This window comes from Homo sapiens, chromosome 11 (genome assembly GCF_000001405.40).
Source record: "Homo sapiens chromosome 11, GRCh38.p14 Primary Assembly".
Lineage (NCBI taxonomy): Eukaryota > Metazoa > Chordata > Mammalia > Primates > Hominidae > Homo > Homo sapiens.
In genome coordinates, this window is record NC_000011.10 from 119,162,667 (window position 1) to 119,185,040 (window position 22,374).

The 22,374-nt window shown below is 52.8% G+C and overlaps 1 protein-coding gene across 11 annotated transcripts, besides 4 other annotated features; it reads left to right on the forward strand.

Annotated features, from left to right (window-relative positions):
• On the forward strand, positions 5,668-21,350 carry NLRX1 (NLR family member X1). 11 transcript variants are annotated; one of them, NM_001282358.2, is made up of 10 exons: positions 5,668-5,781; positions 8,690-8,807; positions 9,690-9,759; positions 10,235-10,323; positions 10,813-11,432; positions 11,787-12,608; positions 17,027-17,622; positions 18,505-18,591; positions 19,428-19,679; positions 20,452-21,350. In NM_001282358.2, the coding sequence occupies exons 2-10, from the start codon at positions 8,738-8,740 to the stop codon at positions 20,771-20,773; spliced, it is 2,928 nt and encodes a 975-aa protein (NP_001269287.1). In that variant the 5' UTR covers positions 5,668-5,781; positions 8,690-8,737; the 3' UTR covers positions 20,774-21,350. The 11 variants fall into 11 exon arrangements, with proteins under 11 accessions (NP_001269287.1, XP_011541282.1, NP_001269073.1 ...); XM_011542980.2 differs by having other exon boundaries at positions 5,668-5,767; NM_001282144.2 differs by lacking the exon at positions 5,668-5,781 and adding an exon at positions 6,059-6,636.
• Positions 5,968-6,577: a silencer, noted in NCBI's record as "silent region_3972". NCBI's record gives its function as "represses an Ori minimal core promoter by ATAC-STARR-seq in GM12878 lymphoblastoid cells {active_cell/tissue: GM12878}" and the evidence as "EXISTENCE:reporter gene assay evidence [ECO:0000049][PMID:35858748]".
• Positions 5,968-6,854: a biological region, named in NCBI's record as "H3K27ac-H3K4me1 hESC enhancer GRCh37_chr11:119039524-119040229".
• Positions 6,149-6,854: an enhancer, noted in NCBI's record as "H3K27ac-H3K4me1 hESC enhancer chr11:119039524-119040229 (GRCh37/hg19 assembly coordinates)". NCBI's record gives its function as "activates a minimal SCP1, AML or CMV promoter by ChIP-STARR-seq in naive H9 embryonic stem cells {active_cell/tissue: H9 hESC(naive)}" and the evidence as "EXISTENCE:reporter gene assay evidence [ECO:0000049][PMID:30033119]".
• Positions 6,855-7,559: an enhancer, noted in NCBI's record as "H3K27ac-H3K4me1 hESC enhancer chr11:119040230-119040934 (GRCh37/hg19 assembly coordinates)". NCBI's record gives its function as "activates a minimal SCP1, AML or CMV promoter by ChIP-STARR-seq in naive H9 embryonic stem cells {active_cell/tissue: H9 hESC(naive)}" and the evidence as "EXISTENCE:reporter gene assay evidence [ECO:0000049][PMID:30033119]".

The following is a 22,374-nucleotide window of genomic DNA, read 5'->3' on the forward strand; positions in this document are numbered from 1 at the left end:
TGTGTGTGGATCTGCCACCTGGTACTGTGCCCTGCAAGGGGGCCTTCAAAGCATTTGGCATGAGGCCTGTCAGCTGTAGGGAGTCTGTGGCAGGGGATGGTAGGTCCCAGGTACATGTCAAGCTAGTGAACATGTAGCTTAAGAAATATTTGTGTCACCGGGCATGGTGGCTCACGCCTGTAATCCCAGCACTTCGGGAGGCCGAGGCGGGCGAATCACGAGGTCAGGAGATCGAGACAATCTTGGCTAACACGATGAAACCCCATCTCTACTAAAAATACAAAAAATTAGCCGGGCGTGGTGGCGGGTGCCTGTAGTCCCAGCTACTCGGGAGGCTGAGGCAGGAAAATGGCATGAACCCGGGAGGCGGAGGTTGCAGTGAGCCGAGATCGTGCCACTGCACTCCAGCCTGGGCGACAGAGCGAGACTCCGTCTCAAAAAAAAAAAAAAAAAAAAAAGAAATATTTGCATCATGCTGTCCATCTCACAGAGGCTTCACATTCATTATCTCAAGGGAGTCTCATGCTGACCCTGCACCATCCTTCATGACAACCCGTTTTGTAGATGAGAGAACTGAGACTTGGGTTAAGTAACCTACCCAAGGGCCCTCAACGAATGGAGGAGGAGCCAGGCCTGGAGACCAGGTCTTCTGCCTCCAAAGTCCTCTTTCTTGGCATCGGTCAATGGCACTTGTTCATGGTGGACCCACATGCTGTGTGGGGGAGCTGCGTGTCTGTTGTATGAGTGAGTTCTTGCCCAAATGATGCCTGCCTCTGTCTTCAGGACTCACTGAGCCCTGGGTGTGCCTGCAGGGGTGGGGTGTGTTAATGGTTATGGAGGGCAGTGAGAAGCAGGAAAGACCCTGGAGCCCCATCCCTAGGATGGGAGTGGCGGGGGCCTCGCTGGGCTTACTCGCCTTTCCCCTTGGCTTCTCCTCTCTTCCCACCCAGCCACCCTTACTGGGGCTGAACTGTCAGCCACCAGGAATACAAATGGGTCTGGTGGCTGGGGGTTTGGAGCAGGCAAGTGTCCAGAAGTTCTTGAGGACTGGGGGCAGGACAACCCAAGAAGCAGCGCACTGCCTCACCCTCTTCTCTCCTGGGCCTGAGGCTTGGGGACTGAAGGAAATGACTGGCATCAACCTGCCAGCTGCCTGGAACACCCTAGTTGTGCCACATGTAGACTTAAGTGACCCAAACTAAACTAGGGTCCAAGTTATGAGTGGTTGGGTGCTCACCTGGAGGTGAATGACTTTTTTTTTTTTTCTTATGGAGGTTTGTGATGGGAGTGGAAAGCATGAAGAAGTCTGAGTTCAAGCTCCTGGAATTCTAGTTAGATTTAGAGGGCATTCTGGGTGCCTCCTTCTCCCTGGAGTGATGCCAACAGATGGCTTTTGACGTATCAAAGGGCATGAAATCCCACCATTAAAGCATCTGTCTTAAGATTCTTATTTTACTCTCTCTCTCTTTTTTATTTAAAGACAGGGTCTCACTCTGTCACCTGGGCTGTAGTGCAGTGGTACAAACATAGCTCATTGCAGCTTGAACTCCTGGGCTCAAGGGATCCTCCTCCCTCAGCCTCCTGAGTAGCTGGGATGATAGGTGTATGTCACTATGCCCAGATAATTTTTAATTTTTTTTTTTTTTTGAGACAGAGTTTCACTTTTGTTGCCAGGGCTTGAGTGCAATGGCGCGATCTCGGCTCACTGCAACCTCCGCCTCCCAGGTTCAAGCGACTGTCCTCCCTCAGCCTCCGGAGTAGCTGGGATTACAGGCATGCACTACCACGCCCAGCTAATTTTGTATTTTTAGTAGAGACGGGGTTTCTCCATGTTGGTCAGGCTGCTCTTGAACTCCTAACCTCAGGCCTAATTTTTAAATTTTTTAAAATGTAGAGATGGGGTCTCATCACGTTGCCCAGGCTGGTCTCCAACTCCTGGGCTGAAACGTTCCTCTCAGCTCAGCTTCCGAAAGTGTTAGTATTACAGGCATGAGCCACCATGCCCGGCCCTCTTTCTCTTTTTAAAACGTAAATACTAGGGCATGGCATGGTAGCTCACATCTGTAATTCCAGGACTTTGGGAGGCCAGCCTGGGCAACACAGTGAGGCCCCATCACTACAGCTCTCTATAAAAACAAACAAACAAACAAACAAACAAACAATTAGCTGGGCATGGTGGCAATGCTTGTAGTCCTAGTTACTTGGGAGGCTGAGGTGAGAGGATCACTTGAGCCCAGGAGTTTGAGATTACAGTGAGCTATGATTGTGCCACTGCACCCCAGCCTGGGTGATAGAGTGACACCCTGTTAAAAAAAAAATCCAGTAAATACTTTTTTTTTTTTTTTGAGATGGAGTCTCTCTCTGTCGCCCAGGCTGGAGTGCAGTGGTACCATCTCGGCTCGCTGCAAGCAAGCTCTGCCTCCTGGGTTCACGACATTCTCCTGCCTCAGCCTCCCAAGTAGCTGGGACTAGAGGTGCCTGCCACTACGCCTGGCTAATTTTTTTGTATTTTTAGTAGAGACGGGGTTTCACCGTGTTAGCCAGGATGGTCTCAATCTCCGGACCTCGTGATCCACCCGTCTCGGCCTCCCAAAGTGCTGGGATTACAGACATGAGCCACCACTCCCGGCGAGATACTGTACTCTTGCCACTGTGCCCTACCCCATGTTCCTCCCACCAGTCCCAGTAACCTGCTGAGTTGGAGCATAAATGCTCCCTGCCCATCTAAGTATGTTTTGAAGTGGGCCCTCTCTCCCTAAGTGCCAAAGTACCTAAGTACCTGGGCTTACAGATCATCTTTTTTTTTTTCTTTTTTGAGACGGAGTCTCACTCTGTAGCCCAAGCTGGAGTGCAGTGGCGTGATCTCGGCTCACTGCAACCTTCGCCTCTGGGGCTCAAGCAATTCTCCTGCCTCAGCCTCCCAAGTAGCTGGGACTAGAGGCGTGCGCCACCACACCTGGTTAATTTTTTTTGTATTTTTAGTAGAGGCGGGGTTTCACCATGTAGCCCTGATGATCTCGAACTCCTGAGCTCAGGCAATCCACCCACACTGGCCTCCCAAAGTGCTGGGATTACAGGCGTGAGCCACCACGCCCATCTGATATCATCTTCTTTAACACAGTCACCTTCTCTGTGTCCAGACCTATGCAAAGTGCTGAAGACCAGAGTTGACTAAGACAGTTGTCCATGCAATAATTCTTTTTTTTTGAGACAGGGTCTCGCTCTGTCACCCATGCTAGAGTACAGGGTGCAACCATGGCTTACTGCAGCCTCAACTTCCTGGGCTCAAGCGATCCTCCCATCTCAGACTCTAGAGTAGCTGGGACCGCAGGTGCGTGCCACCATGCCTAGCTAATTTTTTAAAAATTATTTTTGTGGAGTCAGGGTTCTATTATGTTGCCCAAGCTGGTCTCAAACTCCTGGGCTCGAGTGATCCTTCTGCCTTAGCCTCCCAAAGTGCTGGGATTACAGGTGTGAGCAACCACACCCCGGCCTCATGCTATAACTTTTTTTTTTTTTTTTAGACAGAGTCTCACTCTGTAGCCAAGGCTGGAGTGTGTAGTGGCATGATCGCGGCTCACTGCAACCTCTGCCTCCTGGGTTCAAGCGATTCTCCTGCCTCAGCCTCCTGAGTAGCTGGGACTACAGGTGCCTGCCACCAAGCCTGGCTAATTTTTTTGTATTTCTAGTAGAGACGGGGTTTCACCACGTTGGTCAGGCTGGTCTCGAACTACTGACCTCAGGTGATCCACCCACCTCGGCCTCCCAAAGTGCTGGGATTATAGGGTGAGCCACTGCACCGCATCCTAGGTCAGACAACAGAGGACATGCCCACGGCATGACTCACAGTACTTCTGTCTGCAAGAGGCCAGTCAAAGTATATGTTATTAATAAAACCTACATGGTTGTCGTACCCATGGGGAAGGTGACAGGGGAGGAAAACAGATTGCTCTGAGCTGTGTCCAGGAACTGCTGCCAGGTGACTGTCTTGCATGGCTAGGTAAGTGGAATGAAGCTAGAGGAGATTACCAGGCCCAAACTGTCACCCATGAGACTACATTCATGGGGTTCCTATACTTCCCCTCCCACATCCTATTCTACTCCCCTTGAAGAACCTCTTTTAAAATGCAAATGTGTTGTTCACCCTGCTGCTGGGATGCCCTGCCTTTCCTTTCTCTGATTTATTTATTTATTGAGACAGGGTCTCTCTCTGTTGCCCAGGTTGGAGTGCAGTGGTGCAATCTTGGCTCACTGCAACCTCCGCCTCCCAGGTTCAAGCAATTCTCCTGCTTCAGTCTCCTGAGTAGCTGTGATTATGGGCATGTGCCACCATGCCCAGCTAATTTTTTGTGCTTTTGTTTTTATTTTTGAGACACGGTTTTGCTTTATCTCCCAGGCTAGAGTGCAGTGGCATGATCTCGGCTCACTGCAACCTCTACCTCCCAAGTTCAAGCAATTCTTGTGCCTCAGCCTTCTGAGTAGCTGGTACTACAGGCCCATGCCACCACGTCTGGTTGATTTTTTTTTTTTTTTTGATACAGAGTCTTGCTCTGTCTCCCAGGCTGGAATGCAGTGGCGTGATCTTGGCTCACGGCAACCTCCGCCTCCTGGATTCAAGCGATTCTCCTGCCTAAGCCTCCTGTGTAGCTGGGACTGCAGGCATGCACCACCCAGCCCGGCTAATTTTTGTATTTTTAGTAGAGATGAGGTTTCACCACGTTGCCTAGGTTGGTCGTGAACTTCTGAGCTCAGGCAATCCGCCTGCCTTGGCCTCCCAAAGTGCTAGGATTACAGGCATGAGCCACCATGCCTGGCCAATTTTTGTTATTTTTAGTAGAGACGGGGGTTTCACCATGTTGGCCATGGTGACGAGTTTGAGCTGGTCCCAAACTCCTGGCCTCAGGAGATCTGCCCTCACCCCCAGCCTTCCAAAGTGCTGAGATTACAGGTGTGAGCCACCGCGGCTGGTCCTCTGATTTATTTTTTCAGATCCAGTACAAATGTTACCTCCTCTGCACTCCCTTTTCCAGACTCTCCTAATGCCTTGCCTCTGCCACTGAAGTACATCATTTGTTTGTCTGTTTTTTATATTTTTATTTTCTATTTTCATTTTAAATAGAGACAGGGTCTCACTATGTCACCCAGGCTGGTCTCAAACTCCTGGTCTCAAGTGATCCTCCTGCCTCGGCCTTGAAGTACATCATTTGTAAATGTGGTAGTTGATTCCATTAAAGTGAGGTGCCTGCCTTGCTGTGGTTGGCAGCCCAGGGCCTAGTGCTGGACCTGGCTTGTGGGGGTGAGGTGCTCAGTGCTACCCAATACCACAGTACAACGAATGAACAAATGTCTAAATGAAACATCCACATTGTTTTCAGTAAGTCCTCTTCCCAGCCCTGCCCTGGAGAGCCTCTCTGTGGGTGCCCTAGTGCACAGCTCTGTTGTGTGAACATCGTACACTCATGCTTGCATACGAAGGCGTGCCCTGGCTGTGGGTGGTGGGTGGCTCCTCCTTCTGGGCTACGTGAGCCCAGGGTGTGGAAGTGTGTGGAAGTGTAGGGATAAGGGTGGGGGCTTTGGGAACTGGGAAGCCCCAGGGCTAGGCCATGAATGGGTGTCAGACCCGAAGAGCAGGTTGGGGTGCAAGTTGTCCTTCAGCCCCCATTCTTCCTTCTTTCTTAACCAAGGTTACCAGCAGCCACACACATAGGTCTGGGCTCTGAAGAGGACCGGATACATAAGGCAGAACCCAAGGAAGCCTTAGGCTCAGGTCTCTGCCTGAAGGTAGGCTGGGGAGGCGGAGAGGGACAGAGGGAAGAATCCCCTGGACACCGCGCCTCAGGGAGGCCCAGGGGTAAGGTAGGAAGACTCAGGCCCGGGATGTTGTTCTGGCTCATCCACTTCCTAACTGAATCAACCTGCACAAGTCATTTCACCCTTCTGAGCATCAGTTTCTTCATCTGTAAAATGGGCCTAACAAGCAGCCCAGCCTGGGAGGTGGTTAGTGAGGTCACTGGGTGTCACTGGCGCTTGGGAACCTGCAGAGGGCAGTACTAGCGGCAGTGCCCGCGGGGATGGAGGCAGGGAGGGGGGACGATGGCGGGACGGGTGGCGCCGGGGTTCCAGCCCTGCGCCTGCTCCGGAGCACCGGGCCCCTCTCGCTGACCCCCTCGTCCCAGGACCCCGCAGGCCCGAGTGCCTGGGCTCGTCCTCTTTCGCGCCCGCTGCCAGGTGCCAGGGCCGCGCAGGCGGGCGGAGGTGGGCAGGAAGCGCCACGCCGAGGAGCCGGGGACTCTGGGAGCTAGCGGGAGACGCCGGCGTCCGCCCAGCCGACCCCTCTGGGCCGCGGCCGACGGCTCCCGGAACTGGGCAGCCGCGGGTAAAGGCCTAGCGGGCTTGATAACCCCTGCGCCCTGGCTGGGAGGCCGCGCTGAGCGGGGGGCAGGGCGGGCCGGGGGAGGAGGCTGTGCAAGGGCCGCGGGGAGATCCCGGCCGAGAACGAGAGGGACGGAGCTGGGCGCTGAATGGCGGGCGTTCTGGCAAGTCTCCCCCTGCGTTCCCGAGGCCACCCGAAAGTAGGAGAGCTGTTTGGGACCCAGTTTGGTGGAGGAGCTCTGGACCTGTAGGAACACCGCCCCTGTACGTTTCCTGCAGTGCCCCCTCCTTTTCTCATTGCCCTGGAGACCTGGGTGATCACCGGAGAACTGCCCTCGGCCCCGCAAGTCCCGTCTTGACTCAGTGGCCCTAGATCCGAGGTTAAACCGGAACCTAGGCTTTCTCAGGCTTCTGGAGCCCTCTCTTAACCCTTCCGCAGCCCCTGGGACGGGCCAGCACCCAGCCAGCTCCTCCGCTGGTTGGCCCTGCTAAGGCAGGTGGCCCAATGCAGCCAGTTCTCCTTAAGCGTACCCTGCCCAAGAAGCCCCGATCTCAGTGGAGGAGACCAGGTGCCAAATAGGGGCACATTCCATTTAAGTGAGTTCAGAGGCCTCAGAAAAGACTTCCCAGGGACGGAGACTTTTGAGCAGGATCTTAAAAGATTGGTTGGGGCCCGAGTGGTGGCTCGCGCCTGCAGTCCCCGCACTTTGGGAGGGCAAGGCGGGCGGATCACTTGAGCCCAGGAGTTCGAGACCACCCTGGGCAACAATGGTGAAAACCCCGTCTCTACAAAAACCAAAGCCAAAAATTAGCCAGGTGTGGTGGCACACCACTTTAGTCCTAGCTACTCAGGAGGCTGAAGCAGGAGGATGGCTTGAGCCCAGGAGGTAGAGGTTGCTGTGAGCTGAGATCGTACTACTGCACTCCAGCCTGGGCAACAGAGCGAGAGACCCTGTCTCAGGAAAAAAAAAAAAAAAAAAAAAAAAAAAAAAAAAATTGGTTGGGACTCTAACAGAGGAAAAAGGTCATTCCAAACTGGGAAGAGTGTATGAACAAATTTAGGACAGCAAGAGCAAGAATCCGGTGAGCCTGGGGTATAAGGCACAGGCTGGGACAAACTCAGAAAAATAGCTTGTGGGAGCCCAGTGTTTGGACTCTATAAGTAACCTTGGACTTTTCGGGAGGTGCTTGGTGCTTGGGGTGAGGGATTAGAATGGGATGAGACTGAAGGCAGAAAGGCTGGTGAGGAGATCGGGTCCAATAAATGCTGGTCGGGGCAGCAACTGGCTGGCAAAGCAGTGGGGAGGAATTGCTAGGACTCTTCACACTGCCTAAAGGAGCAAGGGAAGAAAGATTTGAAGAGAGAGGTCAGGTTTCTAATGTAAGGCGTGGGTGGGAAGATTTGCAGCAAGGTAAATGACAAGAGGAGGGGAATGATGAGTTCAGTTTTACATGGGAGAAGTTTGAAGCAGTGGCAGGTTGTCCATCTGGAGATGTCAAGTGAGAAGTTCATTCATTTATTTATTATTTATGTCAGCCTCAAAGGCTGCTTACATAAAAGTCACAGAGAACATAAAATGATGAAGCCATTAAAACTCAGCTAAAAGGATCTGATATCTGCGGAAGAAAGGCAGAGTGGGGTGGATAATTATTACTGGAAAATCTAGGCACAGAAAAGCCACTGAAAATGAACACAGGACTCCTATCTGAGCTTGCTGGTGGCCAAGAAGGAAAAAGGACACCTAAATAAAGCAGTTTACCAGGGTGGAACTCAGGGAAAGGTGTTCGTGAAGCTTCAGGGGAGAGGCAAGACGTGGCAGGAAGGCCAGGTGTGATGGCTCACACTTGTAATCCCAGCACTTTGCAAGGCCAAGGCAGGCAGATTACCTGAGGTCAGAAGTTCAAGACCAGCTTAACCAACATGGTAAACCCCGTCTCTACTAAAAATACAAAAATTAGCCCAGTGTGGTGGTGGGCGCCTGTAATCCCAGCTACTTGGGAGGCTGAGGCAGGAGAATCGCTTGGGCCCGGGAGGCATAGGCTTCAATGAGCCACAATCATGCCTGGGCAACAGAGGGGCACTCCATCTCAAAAAAGAAAAAAGAAAAAAAAGGTGGTAGGAGATAAAATGGGATTCCTCAAGCTGGAGTTTGGGAGAGGGACGAGAGCTGAAAACCAGGCCAGGGCTTCAGCAGGGCCAACATTTGAGGAAGGGCTGATCCTCTCCTGGGAGGAAGGTCCCTCCTTGGCTGGAATGGGGTTAGGGGTGCAGGGGAGGAGTGGTGGCAGTGATCCATTCGTACTATTCTTCTTGCAGGACAGAAGTCGGTCCTAGGCCCCCCAGGCTCTGACCTTCTTTCCCAGGATGAGGTGGGGCCACCATTTGCCCAGGGCCTCTTGGGGCTCTGGTTTTAGAAGAGCACTCCAGCGACCAGGTGAGCAGGAAGCAGGGGTTTCTGTTTTTACCTCTTTCTTGCTTTCCAGGGTCCACATGATGCCTCCAAGACAGCAGGGATCCAGACACCAGGTGCACTAGTCTCAGCTCCGTGGTTCTCTAGCTGTTGACCTTGAGCATGTCGCTTCACCTTCCTCAGCTGCCTTTTTCCCAACCTAAAATAAGGGAGTTGGACTTGGCCAGGTGCGGTGGCTCATGCCTGTAATCCTAGCACTTTGGAAGGCCGAGGCAGGCGGATCACAAGATCAGGAGTTTGAGACCAGCCTGGCAACATGGTGAAACCCTGTCTCTATTAAAACTACAAAAAAAAAAATTAACCAGGTGTAGTGGTGCACACCTGTAATCCCAGCTAGTTGGGAGGCTGAGGCAGGAGAATCATTTGAACCGGGAGGCAGAAGTTGCAGTGAGCTGAGATCGCACCATTGCACTCCAGCCTGGACAATAGAGTAAGACTCTGTCTCAAAAAAAAAAAAAGAGAGTTGGACTAGATCATCTTCGAGAGTCTCTTGTAGCTACATAAGTCTAGGAACTTGTCTGATTTTACTTTACATACAACAGAGATTTACTGAGTGCCTGCCGTACCGCAGACCTGGTGTTAAGTTCTAAGTAAATAATTGTGAACAAAAACAGACGTAAAGGGGACAAAAAAATTTTAAAACACCCAAATGTGATCCCTCTCATGGAGGAGAGAGGAATGAATGTTAATCGAATAATCACACAATGAAATATAAAATTGCAAAATAACTGCTGCAAAGGGGCAGTACATGCTGCTATGAGAGCAAATACTGGGGGGTTTGATGTAGACATGGGTTCTGTGTATTGCATGGGATCTGCAGATGCTATTTCTTCCTTCTCTCTGTAGATGATCGTATCCCCTTCCTGATCCACTGGAGTTGGCCCCTTCAAGGGGAGCGTCCCTTTGGGCCCCCTAGGTGAGGCCTGGGTGTCATACCTTAGGACTAGTCTGGGCACAACAGAGCAGACTGGGAAGGGTCAGGACTTGGGGCTAGCTTGATCTCTTGGGGACCTTGGGGAGGGGCTTGGTCCTTTGGGGGTGGGAGGACAGTGGCAGCTCCAAGGCCTGAGAGGAAGTTGGCTTAGATCATCTGTGGTAGAAGGCATAGTAGTCAGTGGAGGGAGGACCCTGTGGGAAGTGGGTGGAGCCTCACATGGCCAGCCTGAGTTCCAGGCGGGCAGTCAGCAGTGGGGTCTGGAGGGCTAGGGCTAAGGCCTCAGCACCTGGGAAGGGTGTGAGAGTCAGACAAGCCTCTAAACTTGGGGGTCCAGTGTGGGGCCTTTATCTCAGGAAACCAGAAGTCTAGCAGTGCAGATAGGCTTGGACCCAGAGCCTGTGAAGGGGCTGATCCAAGTTACAAGTCCCAGCTCATCCCCTCTCCTTGTTCCCAGGGCCTTTATACGCCACCACGGAAGCTCGGTAGATAGCGCTCCCCCACCCGGGAGGCATGGACGGCTGTTCCCCAGCGCCTCTGCAACTGGTAAAGGGACTGGCTGGGACCCTGGTCAGGGGGTGTGGTGGGCAGACGGGGCTGGAAGGAGAAGCAGGGTGAGGGAGGCATAGAGGATCCACTGCCATCTTCCATCGGTGGTCCCTCCTCCTCTCTCTCTCTCCCTCCCATCCGTCTATGTATCCCTTCCTGCAATACTCTTGCAATGCACACTTATATGTACAAAGCGCTAGGAGAGCCATACCATCCCTATGCTCAACAAAGTTGGGTCAAGCAGGTTAAGACGGCACATAGGTCACTGTGAAACCAGTTTGTCCAGTGGCTTCCCACTTTCTGACATAGGGGTTCCAGACTTTCTGGACAGTCTATATTTTCTCAGGGAGTCTTGTGTGCCCACCATTGTGGGCCCCAGCATCTATGCCGTGATGTCCCAGCCTGACCTCACCACCGCCCTGATTGGCCCTAAGCTACATCTCCAGGCCCCTTTCCCTGACACATTTCCCTTATCTTCCCACTCAGAAGCTATACAGCGGCACCGCCGGAACCTGGCTGAGTGGTTCAGCCGGCTGCCCAGGGAGGAGCGCCAGTTTGGCCCAACCTTTGCCCTAGACACGGTCCACGTTGACCCTGTGATCCGCGAGAGTACCCCTGATGAGCTACTTCGCCCACCCGCGGAGCTGGCCCTGGAGCATCAGCCACCCCAGGCCGGGCTCCCCCCACTGGCCTTGTCTCAGCTCTTTAACCCGGATGCCTGTGGGCGCCGGGTGCAGACAGTGGTGCTGTATGGGACAGTGGGCACAGGCAAGAGCACGCTGGTGCGCAAGATGGTTCTGGACTGGTGTTATGGGCGGCTGCCGGCCTTCGAGCTGCTCATCCCCTTCTCCTGTGAGGACCTGTCATCCCTGGGCCCTGCCCCAGCCTCCCTGTGCCAACTTGTGGCCCAGCGCTACACGCCCCTGAAGGAGGTTCTGCCCCTGATGGCTGCTGCTGGGTCCCACCTCCTCTTTGTGCTCCATGGCTTAGAGCATCTCAACCTCGACTTCCGGCTGGCAGGCACGGGACTTTGTAGTGACCCGGAGGAACCGCAGGAACCAGCTGCTATCATCGTCAACCTGCTGCGCAAATACATGCTGCCTCAGGTGGGTGGCCCTTTACCCCAGGTTATCACTGCTGCCCGTTGACTCGCCCCCTAGGTCCTGGGTTACTTTAACTCCTGGTCCCTTCACTTCCCAGTGGTGCGACCCTGAGCAAGTCAGTAACTTCCCCAGCCTTCTGTTCCTTTCTTTTTGAGTTGCTCTGATCAAATGGGGTACTGCATATAATATTAGCACAGCGGCCTGGATCACAGCAGGTGTTCAGTAATTGCTAGTTATAACTGTTATCCTCATCAATGTCTTCATCCTTGGACACTCCGTCTTCAGGGGTCCCCTGGGAATAGAAGCAGTCAACAGGACACTAAGGTCTTTCTTAACTCTCAACCATGCTCTTCCCAGGCCAGCATTCTGGTGACCACTCGGCCCTCTGCCATTGGCCGTATCCCCAGCAAGTACGTGGGCCGCTATGGTGAGATCTGCGGTTTCTCTGATACCAACCTGCAGAAGCTCTACTTCCAGCTCCGCCTCAACCAGCCGTACTGCGGGTATGCCGTTGGCGGTTCAGGTGTCTCTGCCACACCAGCTCAGCGTGACCACCTGGTGCAGATGCTCTCCCGGAACCTGGAGGGGCACCACCAGATAGCCGCTGCCTGCTTCCTGCCGTCCTATTGCTGGCTCGTTTGTGCCACCTTGCACTTCCTGCATGCCCCCACGCCTGCTGGGCAGACCCTTACAAGCATCTATACCAGCTTCCTGCGCCTCAACTTCAGCGGGGAAACCCTGGACAGCACTGACCCCTCCAATTTGTCCCTGATGGCCTATGCAGCCCGAACCATGGGCAAGTTGGCCTATGAGGGGGTGTCCTCCCGCAAGACCTACTTCTCTGAAGAGGATGTCTGTGGCTGCCTGGAGGCTGGCATCAGGACGGAGGAGGAGTTTCAGCTGCTGCACATCTTCCGTCGGGATGCCCTGAGGTTTTTCCTGGCCCCATGTGTGGAGCCAGGGCGTGCAGGCACCTTCGTGTTCACCGTGCCCGCCATGCAGGAATACCTGGCTGCCCTCTACATTGTGCTGGGTTTGCGCAAGACGACCCTGCAAAAGGTGGGCAAGGAAGTGGCTGAGCTCGTGGGCCGTGTTGGGGAGGACGTCAGCCTGGTACTGGGCATCATGGCCAAGCTGCTGCCTCTGCGGGCTCTGCCTCTGCTCTTCAACCTGATCAAGGTAACATCCCGATCAAGGTAACCCCCCAACCTGCTCCTTCCCTCCCCAGCACCCCAAGCCGCCCACGCCCCCACATGGTTCCCTGTTCACCCCTTGCTCCTCTCCCAGCAGGAAACTGCTGCTTCCTGCAAAGGTATGAATCTTCTCCCTGGATCTGGTTTCAGCTCTGAGCATTTTGGCTTTTAGTGGGATTGCAGAGAGAGAAGCCACAAGGCTGGGGAAGGCTTGGTGGCTGGGGAAGGGAACCTGGGGACGTGGGGACTTTAATAATAATGCTACATGGATTCCTAAAAATGGTTTCCTTTTTGTGTCTTTCCTCCTAGGAGGCAGGCCTATCCTCTGCTTTGCAGGTCCAGAAACTCGATTGTGTCTGCTCCTCCAGAGGTGATTAGGCTCTGAGAGTGATGACTCATCCTAACTAAATCACCAGAGACGGGTTTATAAAGCAGATGCCATTTTATTCATTTATACTAGGAAGATAAATGGCATTGGTAATTGGCTTAGGGGAGTCATCATGAGGGCAGGTCCACTCCAGAAACCAAATTACAGACCTGAGGACTGTGCTGTGAGTGGCACAGCTGAGCGAGGTCTTTGAGGGCTGGAAGGAGCCACTCTGTGTGATGTGTGCCAGGCGCGTTATCAGTGTTCATCCTTTTGTTTTTCACATTACTCCTGGAAAGGAAATACTATTATGATCCCTTTTATAGATGAATAAACTGAGGCTCAGAGAGGTAAAGTAACTTGTCCAAGATCACTCAAATAGTAAGTTTAAAAGCCCAGGGCTTTGTGATTCTGAATCCTGTGCTCTTTCTGCCAAACTATACTGGTGCATTACGGATATGTCTGTCGAGCTGTGGGACCTTGCTAGGTAACCTTTGTTTTCTCTAGGAATGTTTCAGCAACGCATTTTGAGGAGGCAGAGTGCTGGTTAGTGCTGGCAGAATTTCAACACTTTTTAAAAATTTAAATGTATTTTTATTTTTATTTTTTGAGACAGAGTCTTACTCTGTTGCCCAGGCCTAGAGTGCAGTGGTGCAATCATAGCTCACTGCAGCTTCGACCTTCTGGGCTCAAGCAATCCTCCCACCTCAACTTCACTGAGTAGCTGGGACCTCAGGCATGTGCCACCATCCCCAGCTAATTTTTAAAATTTTAATTTTGTAGCCGGGTGCAGTGGCTCACGCCTGTAATCCCAGCACTTTGAGAGGCGAGGCAGGTAGATCACCTGAGGTCAGGAGTTTGAGACCAACCTGGCCAACATGGTTAACCAAGTGTGGTGCCGGGTGCCTGTAATCCCAGCTACTTGGGAGGCTGAGACGGGAGAATTGCTTGAGCCTGGGAGGCAGAGGTTGCAGTGAGCCAAGATTGCGCCACTGCACTCCAGCCTGAGCAACAGAGACTCCCTCTCAAAAATAAAAAAATAATAATAACAAAATTAAATTAAATTAAAAAATAAAAAATTTTTAATTTTGTAGAGATGGGGTCTCACTAGTGATCCTCTCACTTTGGCCTCCCAAAGTGCTGGGCTACAGGTGTGAACCACTGTGCCCAGCCAACTTTTTATTTTTATAGGCACCAAAGCATAAGGGCTAAGAACAGGGATTTGGTAACTCAGCTATTTGAGTTCAAATCCAGGCTCTGCTACTTATTAGCTGTGAGACTTTGGACAGGTTACTTAGTTCTGTGCCTCAGATTCCTTATCTGTGAAATGGAGATAATACTAGAACTTATATCACTGGCCTAATATGAAGATGAAATGAACTCATCCTCAGGGTCTAGGACATGGTAAGTGCTATTTAATTGTTTTTTGTTTGTTTGTTTTTTTGAGATGGAGTCTCGCTCTGTCGCCCAGGCTGGAGTGCAGTGGCACCGTCTCTGCTCACTGCAACCTCCACCTCCCGGATTTAAGTGATTCTCCCAGCTCAGCCTCCCAAGTAGCTGGGACTACAGGCACCTGCCACCATGCCCGGCTTATTTTTGTATTTTTAGTAGAGACAGGGTTTCTCCATGTTGGCCAGACTGGTCTTGAACTCCTGACCTCAGGTGATCCACCCACCTCAGCCTCCCACAGTGCTGGGATTACAGGAGTGAGCCACCACGCCCGGCCTATGCTGTTTAATTGTTTGTCACACATAGAAACAGACTTAGTTCCAGACCAGCCTGGCCAACATGGTGAAACCCCATCTCTACTAAAAATACAAAAATTAGCCGGGTGTGGTGGCACGTGTCTGTAATCCCAGCTACTCGGGAGGCTGAGGCAGGAGAATCTCTTGAGCCCAGGAAGTGGAGGTTGCAGTGAGCTGAGATCGCGCCACTGTACTCCAGCCTGGGTGACAGAGCGAGACTCTGTCTCACAAAAAAAAAAAAAGAAAAAAGAAAGAAACAAAGAAACAGGCTCGGGCAGCCCACCCCTTCTCACACATCACCTCCGACAGGAGGTCACAGCTGCTGCTGAGGCCACCCCGCCTTGAGGATGTGCCTGCCGGACCTGAGTTGCAACGAGAGGCTGCAGTCTCCCGAGGGGATTCAGAAAGCCCCCAGTTATTGAAAACCCAGCAGAATTGTCAGCCCTGCACCCCCAAGCCCTCTTGGAGGGAGGGTTGCCCTGGCAGAGCACTGAGCCCATCTGTTTATTCACCATCCTGTGGATTCAGCTTCACAGGGTGACATATTCTGTCACAGGTTGGTGTTGGAGAAGGGGCACTATCACCTCTATGAGAGTAACCTCACATATAAACATGAAAACAAGCCAGGTGCAGTGGGGCACACTTGTAGTCACAGCTGTCAGGAGGCCAAGGCAGGAGGATCGCTTGAGCCTAAGAGTTAAAGGCTACAGTGAGCTATGATCACACCACTGCACTCCAGCCTAGGTGACACAGCAAGACTCTGTCTCTAAACAAATAAAAATTAAAACATTAAAAAGTAAAAAAAACCCAGATGTTAAAGGACGTGCCACAAAACAACGTCATGGTTTGTTGCCAGAGGAATGACCCTTCTTCCCTTTCAGAACCATTGCAGGAATGGGGGAAGATATCACAAACCCCCAACATTTATTTCTTTGTCAGATATTTGAGTGCCTGCTGTGTGCCAGGCAATGTGTTAGAATCTGAGGAAATGTCAGTTAACAAAACTACAGGTTTCAGCCCTTTCTGATCTAGTCTGAGCTCCTCTCCCAGAAGGAAACTGCTACTTCCTGCACAGTTTGAGCACAAAAATATCAATGTAACCATATAAGGAAAAATTACAGCAAATGCCTGGGAAGAAGGAGCCCCAGATGCCATGAAAGTGTATAGTGGGGGAACTGGTCTGCGGGGTCAGGAGAGCCTCTTTGTGGAAGGGCATGTCGTCTGACCCTTGTAGCATTAGCCAAAGGAAGAAGTTGGGGGAGGGGAAATGCCCCAGGAAAGGGCAGCACCCTGGAGGCTTTTTTTTTTTTTTTTTCTCTTGAGACAGGGTCTTGCTCTGTTGCCCAGGCTGGAGTTCAGTGGTGTGATCTCAGCTCACTGCATCCCTGACCTCCAGTGCTCAAGGGACTACAGGCACATGCCACCATGCCTGGCTAATTTATTTTTAATTAAGAAAATTTTTTTAATAGAGATGGCATCTTGCTACATTGCCCAGGCTGGTCTAGAACTCCTGGGCTCAAGTGATCCTCCCACCTCGGCCTCCCTAAGTGCTGGGATTACGGGCATGAGCCACTGCACCTGGCCTATGGAGGCTTTGAAGGAGGAAAAACCTTGGCACTGTTAAGATGAAAAAAGCCGAAAGGGCAGGAGCATAGCGAGTGGGGCCAAGAGGCTTGTGATGAAGGCATCGTAGTCGGCAGGGCCCAGATCACACAGGCCCTTAAAGCAGTAGGAACTGCATGTTGAAGATGGTGATGTATTTGTGATACCTAGCCCGGTCCCAAACTAAGTGTGTAATACATGCTAATTCCTTCTCACCACCTCCTGGGTTTGAAAATGTATCAGGGTGTTTGGGAAAGAGAAAGAAGTTCCTAATGTCTGCAGCACATGAGACAGGTGTTGAGAGATGACCCTGGAAAGGTCAAATTAGGGCCAAATTATGAAAAGTTTTGGGCCAGGTGCAGTGGCTTATGCCTATAATCCTAGCACTTTGGGGGGCCTAAGCTAGGGAGCCCAGAAGTTCAAGACCAGCTTAGGTGACACAGCAAGACCCCATCTCTAGTTTTAAGAAACGTTTCATATTCCAGGCTAAATGTTTGGAGTTTGCCACATAGGCAGTAGGGAGCCATGGAAGGTGTCGCAGCAGGGGAGTAGCATGATCAGACAAATTATGCTAAGTTCAAGGGGAGATCACAGGGCTGGAGCAGTCATGGGAGTGTACCTTAAGCTGAACCTTGAAGGCTGAACAGGCACATGGAAGGCCACAGTGACTCTCCCCTGCTTCTTTTTCAGGTGGTTCCACGAGTGTTTGGGCGCATGGTGGGTAAAAGCCGGGAGGCGGTGGCTCAGGCCATGGTGCTGGAGATGTTTCGAGAGGAGGACTACTACAACGATGATGTTCTGGACCAGATGGGCGCCAGTATCCTGGGCGTGGAGGGCCCCCGGCGCCACCCAGATGAGCCCCCTGAGGATGAAGTCTTCGAGCTCTTCCCCATGTTCATGGGGGGGCTTCTCTCTGCCCACAACCGAGCTGTGCTAGCTCAGCTTGGCTGCCCCATCAAGAACCTGGATGCCCTGGAGAATGCCCAGGCCATCAAGAAGAAGCTGGGCAAGCTGGGCCGGCAGGTGCTGCCCCCATCAGAGCTCCTTGACCACCTCTTCTTCCACTATGAGTTCCAGAACCAGCGCTTCTCCGCTGAGGTGCTCAGCTCCCTGCGTCAGCTCAACCTGGCAGGTGTGCGCATGACACCAGTCAAGTGCACAGTGGTGGCAGCTGTGCTGGGCAGCGGAAGGCATGCCCTGGATGAGGTGAACTTGGCCTCCTGCCAGCTAGATCCTGCTGGGCTGCGCACACTCCTGCCTGTCTTCCTGCGTGCCCGGAAGCTGGGGTGAGGACCTATCCTCATGCACAGGCATGAAGAGGGAAGAGGGTTGGAGGTGAAGAAGTGGGAAAAGAAAGTGCCAGGGAAACCAGAGGTACCGATGAGTGACCAGAAGGTGGGATGAAGAAGTCTAGTTTAGGGGCCGGGAGCAGTGGCTCACACCTGTAATCCCAGCACTTTGGGAGCCCAAGGCGGGCGTATCACCTGAGGTCAGGAGTTCGAGACCAGCCTCAACATGGAGAAACCCTGTCTCTACTAAAAATACAAAATTAGCCAGGCATGGTGGTGCATGCCTGTAATCCCAGCTACTTGGGAGGCTGAGGCAGGAGAATTGCTTGAACCTGGGAGGCGGAGGTTGCGGTGAGCTGAGATCATGCCATCGCACTCCAGCCTGGGCAACAACAGCAAAACTCCGTCTCAAAAAAAAAAAAAAAAGTCTAGTTTGGGTGGAGGTGACAGGAGCAACAGAAGGGAGGAGCCAGGCATGGTGGCTCCTGCCTGTAATCCCACTGCTTTGGGAGGCCAAGGCAGAAGCATCACTTGAGCCTAATAGTCTGAGACCATCCTGGGCAACATAGCAAGACCCTGTCTCTACAAAAAATTAAAAAATTAGTCAGGTGTGGTGGCATGTAGCTATCATCCCAGCTACTCGGGAGGCTGAGGTGGGAGGATTGCTTGAGCCCAGGAGTCTGAGGCTGCAGTGAGTTGTGATCATGCCATTGTGCTCCAACCTGGGCAACAGAGTGAGACCCTGTCTCTCAAAAAAGGGGAAGCAGGTATAGATTCCCAGAGGCAGGCTGATGAAAAAAAGGCATGGTAGATGGACAGACTGCCTGCTGAATTCCCTCCCTGGTCTCTCACCTCCCCTCTGGCCACCTTCTGCTCCAGCTTGCAACTCAACAGCCTGGGCCCTGAGGCCTGCAAGGACCTCCGAGACCTGTTGCTGCATGACCAGTGCCAAATTACCACACTGCGGTGAGTGACCTGGGAGTGGGGCATCCTGGTGGCCAGCTAAGGTCAAGGGTGAGCTCCCTGCTTCCTGACATACTTGGCACAGACCCACCCAAGGGATAGTAAATGGAGGAGAGTCTAGGCCCTGACCTGTCCCCTCCACTTCCCCCAGGTCCACTGCAAGCAGCAGGGCAGCAGGGAAACATGCCACCTGTAATGGGTGCTAAGAAACCTCTCACGTGGCTAAAATCAGCCTGGGGGAGGTGGGGAGAGAGGGTGGAATAATACCTAGGCCGGTTGCCTGGTAACAGTGCCACTGATCCCCTCCCAGGATTTTTCTTGCAGCCTCCCGAGGAGGACCCTAATGCTGGGCACTCAGTAGACACCCCTTAAGTGTTGACTGATATGTGGGGAACCTGAGCTCCTGGGTTCCCAGTTTCTGATTGGTGTAAGGGGAGGCAAATGAGGAGAGAAAAAGGAAGAGCAGGGAGAAGGATAGGGGAGTCAGAGGGGAGGGAGAAGCAGAGGCTGTGGAGGGGGTGAAAAAGGCAGAAAAAGGGAAACGGAAATGGTGAAAAGGAAGGGAATAGATAAGAAGGGAGTCAGGGGAAGAGGGAAGGAAAGGCCAGCTCCCCTACTCTGACTCCTCTGCCAGGCGCCACACCCCCTATTGCTCCAGCCTTTCTCCTGGGCCTGCATTTCTATGTCCAGGTTCCTCTTGCCCCATGCAGGGCCCTCTTTGGCCCAAGTCCTGACACCCAGCACAGGGCTGCCCCATTAAGGCTGCCAGTACCACCCCCAACCTTGCCTCCCCCTCCTCTCAATGAGCCCTCATAACCTTGGGTTGCACGTGGCTGTAGGCTGTCCAACAACCCGCTGACGGCGGCAGGTGTTGCCGTGCTAATGGAGGGGCTGGCAGGAAACACCTCAGTGACGCACCTGTCCCTGCTGCACACGGGCCTTGGGGACGAAGGCCTGGAGCTGCTGGCTGCCCAGCTGGACCGCAACCGGCAGCTGCAGGAGCTGAACGTGGCGTACAACGGTGCTGGTGACACAGCGGCCCTGGCCCTGGCCAGAGCTGCCCGGGAGCACCCTTCCCTGGAACTGCTACAGTGAGTCCTGTCCCTGGTCCCATTGCCCCCAGCCCTTCAGACTACTTCCCTCTCTCAACTGTGCTCCTCCAATCCTAGGGAGTGCTTCTGGGCCTGGGCCTGGTGCCTGTCCTTTATTCCTGGTTTCTGACTGATCCTTGTCAACCTAGCTCTGAGCCAACCCACCCCCTCTGTGACTGGCGCTTAAACTGCACCAATTCCCTACCACCATTTCTCCTAAAGCCCTACTGTCTCTGGTCCCACTGAATTCTAGTATCAGGGTCGGCTGTGGTGGCTCACGTCTGTAATCCCAGCACTTCGGGGGGCCAAGGCGGGCACATCACCTGAGGTCAGGAGTTCAAGACCAGTCTGGCCAACATGGTGAAACCCCGTTTCTACTAAAAATACAAAAATTATCTGGGTGTGGTGGTGCGCACCTGTAATCCCAGCTACTTGGGAGGCTGAGGCAGGAGAATCACCTGAACCCGGCAGGTGGAGGTTGCAGTAAGCCGAGATCATGCCACTGCACTCCAGCCTGGGTGACAGAGCAAGACTCCATCTCAAAAAAAACAAAAACAAAAACAAAAACAAAAACAAAAAAAAAAAAGAATTTTAGTATTAGTCCCTGCCTCCCACTGGCCAGCAGCCTCCACCTCTGGCTCATTGCAGTTACCTGATCGCACTCTGCAGCCAGGAGATGAGTTGTGAGGCCCCCTGACTTTCCATCCATCTACCCTCGGGCCCTCCTTCTCAGAGCTCTACTGAATGGCATCGACTTTCTCTCTCCTGCCAGCCTCTACTTCAATGAGCTGAGCTCAGAGGGCCGCCAGGTCTTGCGAGACTTGGGGGGTGCTGCTGAAGGTGGTGCCCGGGTGGTGGTGTCACTGACAGAGGGGACGGCGGTGTCAGAATACTGGTCAGTGATCCTCAGTGAAGTCCAGCGGAACCTCAATAGCTGGGATCGGGCCCGGGTTCAGCGACACCTTGAGCTCCTACTGCGGGATCTGGAAGATAGCCGGGGTGCCACCCTTAATCCTTGGCGCAAGGCCCAGCTGCTGCGAGTGGAGGGCGAGGTCAGGGCCCTCCTGGAGCAGCTGGGAAGCTCTGGAAGCTGAGACACTGGCGGCAGGCACCTAGCTATGTGACCACTGGCCCTAAACCTTTTCCCTCTGTGGCCTCCTGGCTTGCACTGCTCCCTCTAGAAAGATTCCTTCAGGTCTGGAGGCAGAGGAATGGGCATAGCTGAGCCAGTTGCCCTCCTAGGGCATGTTTGACCAGGACTGAGTCTGGAATCTCCAAGTTAAAGATGGTGAATCAATGCTTCGGGCTTGGAGATGGAACATGCCTCCTCTCCATTCAGCTAGAAGGACCAAAGCATGTGGCATTTGGATGGCCAGAGTGCCCTGAAGCACCACTACCAACCTTGCCTCCCCCTCCTCTCAAAGAGCCTCTGACTGTGTCACCAAGGGGCTCACATCTTATGTCTGCCATGCCAGGGGTGTCGCCATCCAGATGTGTTGGAAGCTTCCCCTCCTGCCTTATGCTCACCTGTGGACACCGAGGATGCCCTCACATTGGTGCTTTCTCCTCATCCTCATGCCCCCTTTGCCACAATGGTATGATGGCTTGGTAGCCCCTCGAGGCAGATGCACCTGACTTGCTGCTATTAAAAAGCCGTGTGCCTTCTACCAATTGTGGCCTCTTCTTTACTGCCTGGTGCTTCCAAGAAAGGGCACTGTTCTTGGTCTTTCTGGTTAAACTACCAACCATGATCTATTGCAAGTGGTTCTTGGGCACTAGGTTCAGAGGCAGTGGAGGCTGGAAGGGCCCATGAACAAGATATTGGCATGGGGGTTGGCCATGCTGGGCTGTATTAGTCCAGTCTCACGCTGCTAATAAAGACATACCCAAGACAGGGTAAGTAATTTATAAAGGAGGCTGGGCATGGTGACTCACGCCCGTAATCCCAGCACTTTGGGAGGCCGAGGTGAGCGGATCACCTGAGGTCAGGAGTTTGAGACCAGCCTGACCGACATGGATAGACCTCGTCTCTACTAAAAATACAAAATTAGCTGGGTGTGATGGCACATGCTTGTAATCCCAGCTACTCGAGAGGCTGAAGCAAGAGTATTGCTTGAACCCAGGAGGTGGAGGTTGCCGTGAGCCGAGATAGTGCCACTGCACTCCAGCCTGGAGAACAAGAGTGAAACTCTGTCAAAAAAAAAATTTATAAACGAAAGAGGTTTAATTGACTCACAGTTCCACATAGCTGGGGAGGCCTCACAATCGTGGCAGAAGGCAAATGAGGAGCAAAGTCACATCTTACATAGCAGCAGGCAAGAGAGTGTGTGCCGGGGAACTCCCCTTTATAAAACCATCAAATCTCATGAGACTTATTCACTATCATGAAAACAGCACGGGAAAACCTGCCCCTGTGATTTAATTACCTCCCACCGGGTACCTCCCATGACACGAGGGAGTTATGGGAGCTGCAATTCAAGATGAGATTTGGGTAGGGACACAGCCAAACCATACTATGGGCCATAGAATTATCACCCTTTTCACACTTACCCCCCAGGCTTGGAGTTAGTGACCAGCAATCTGCCTTTCTCTGCACAGAGGGGCAACTGGGTCAGATTCAGGGTCTCCAGAAAAAGTTGGGGCCCAGGGATAGATTCAGGAGGAACCCACACAGTTTTCCAGAGGATAAGACTCT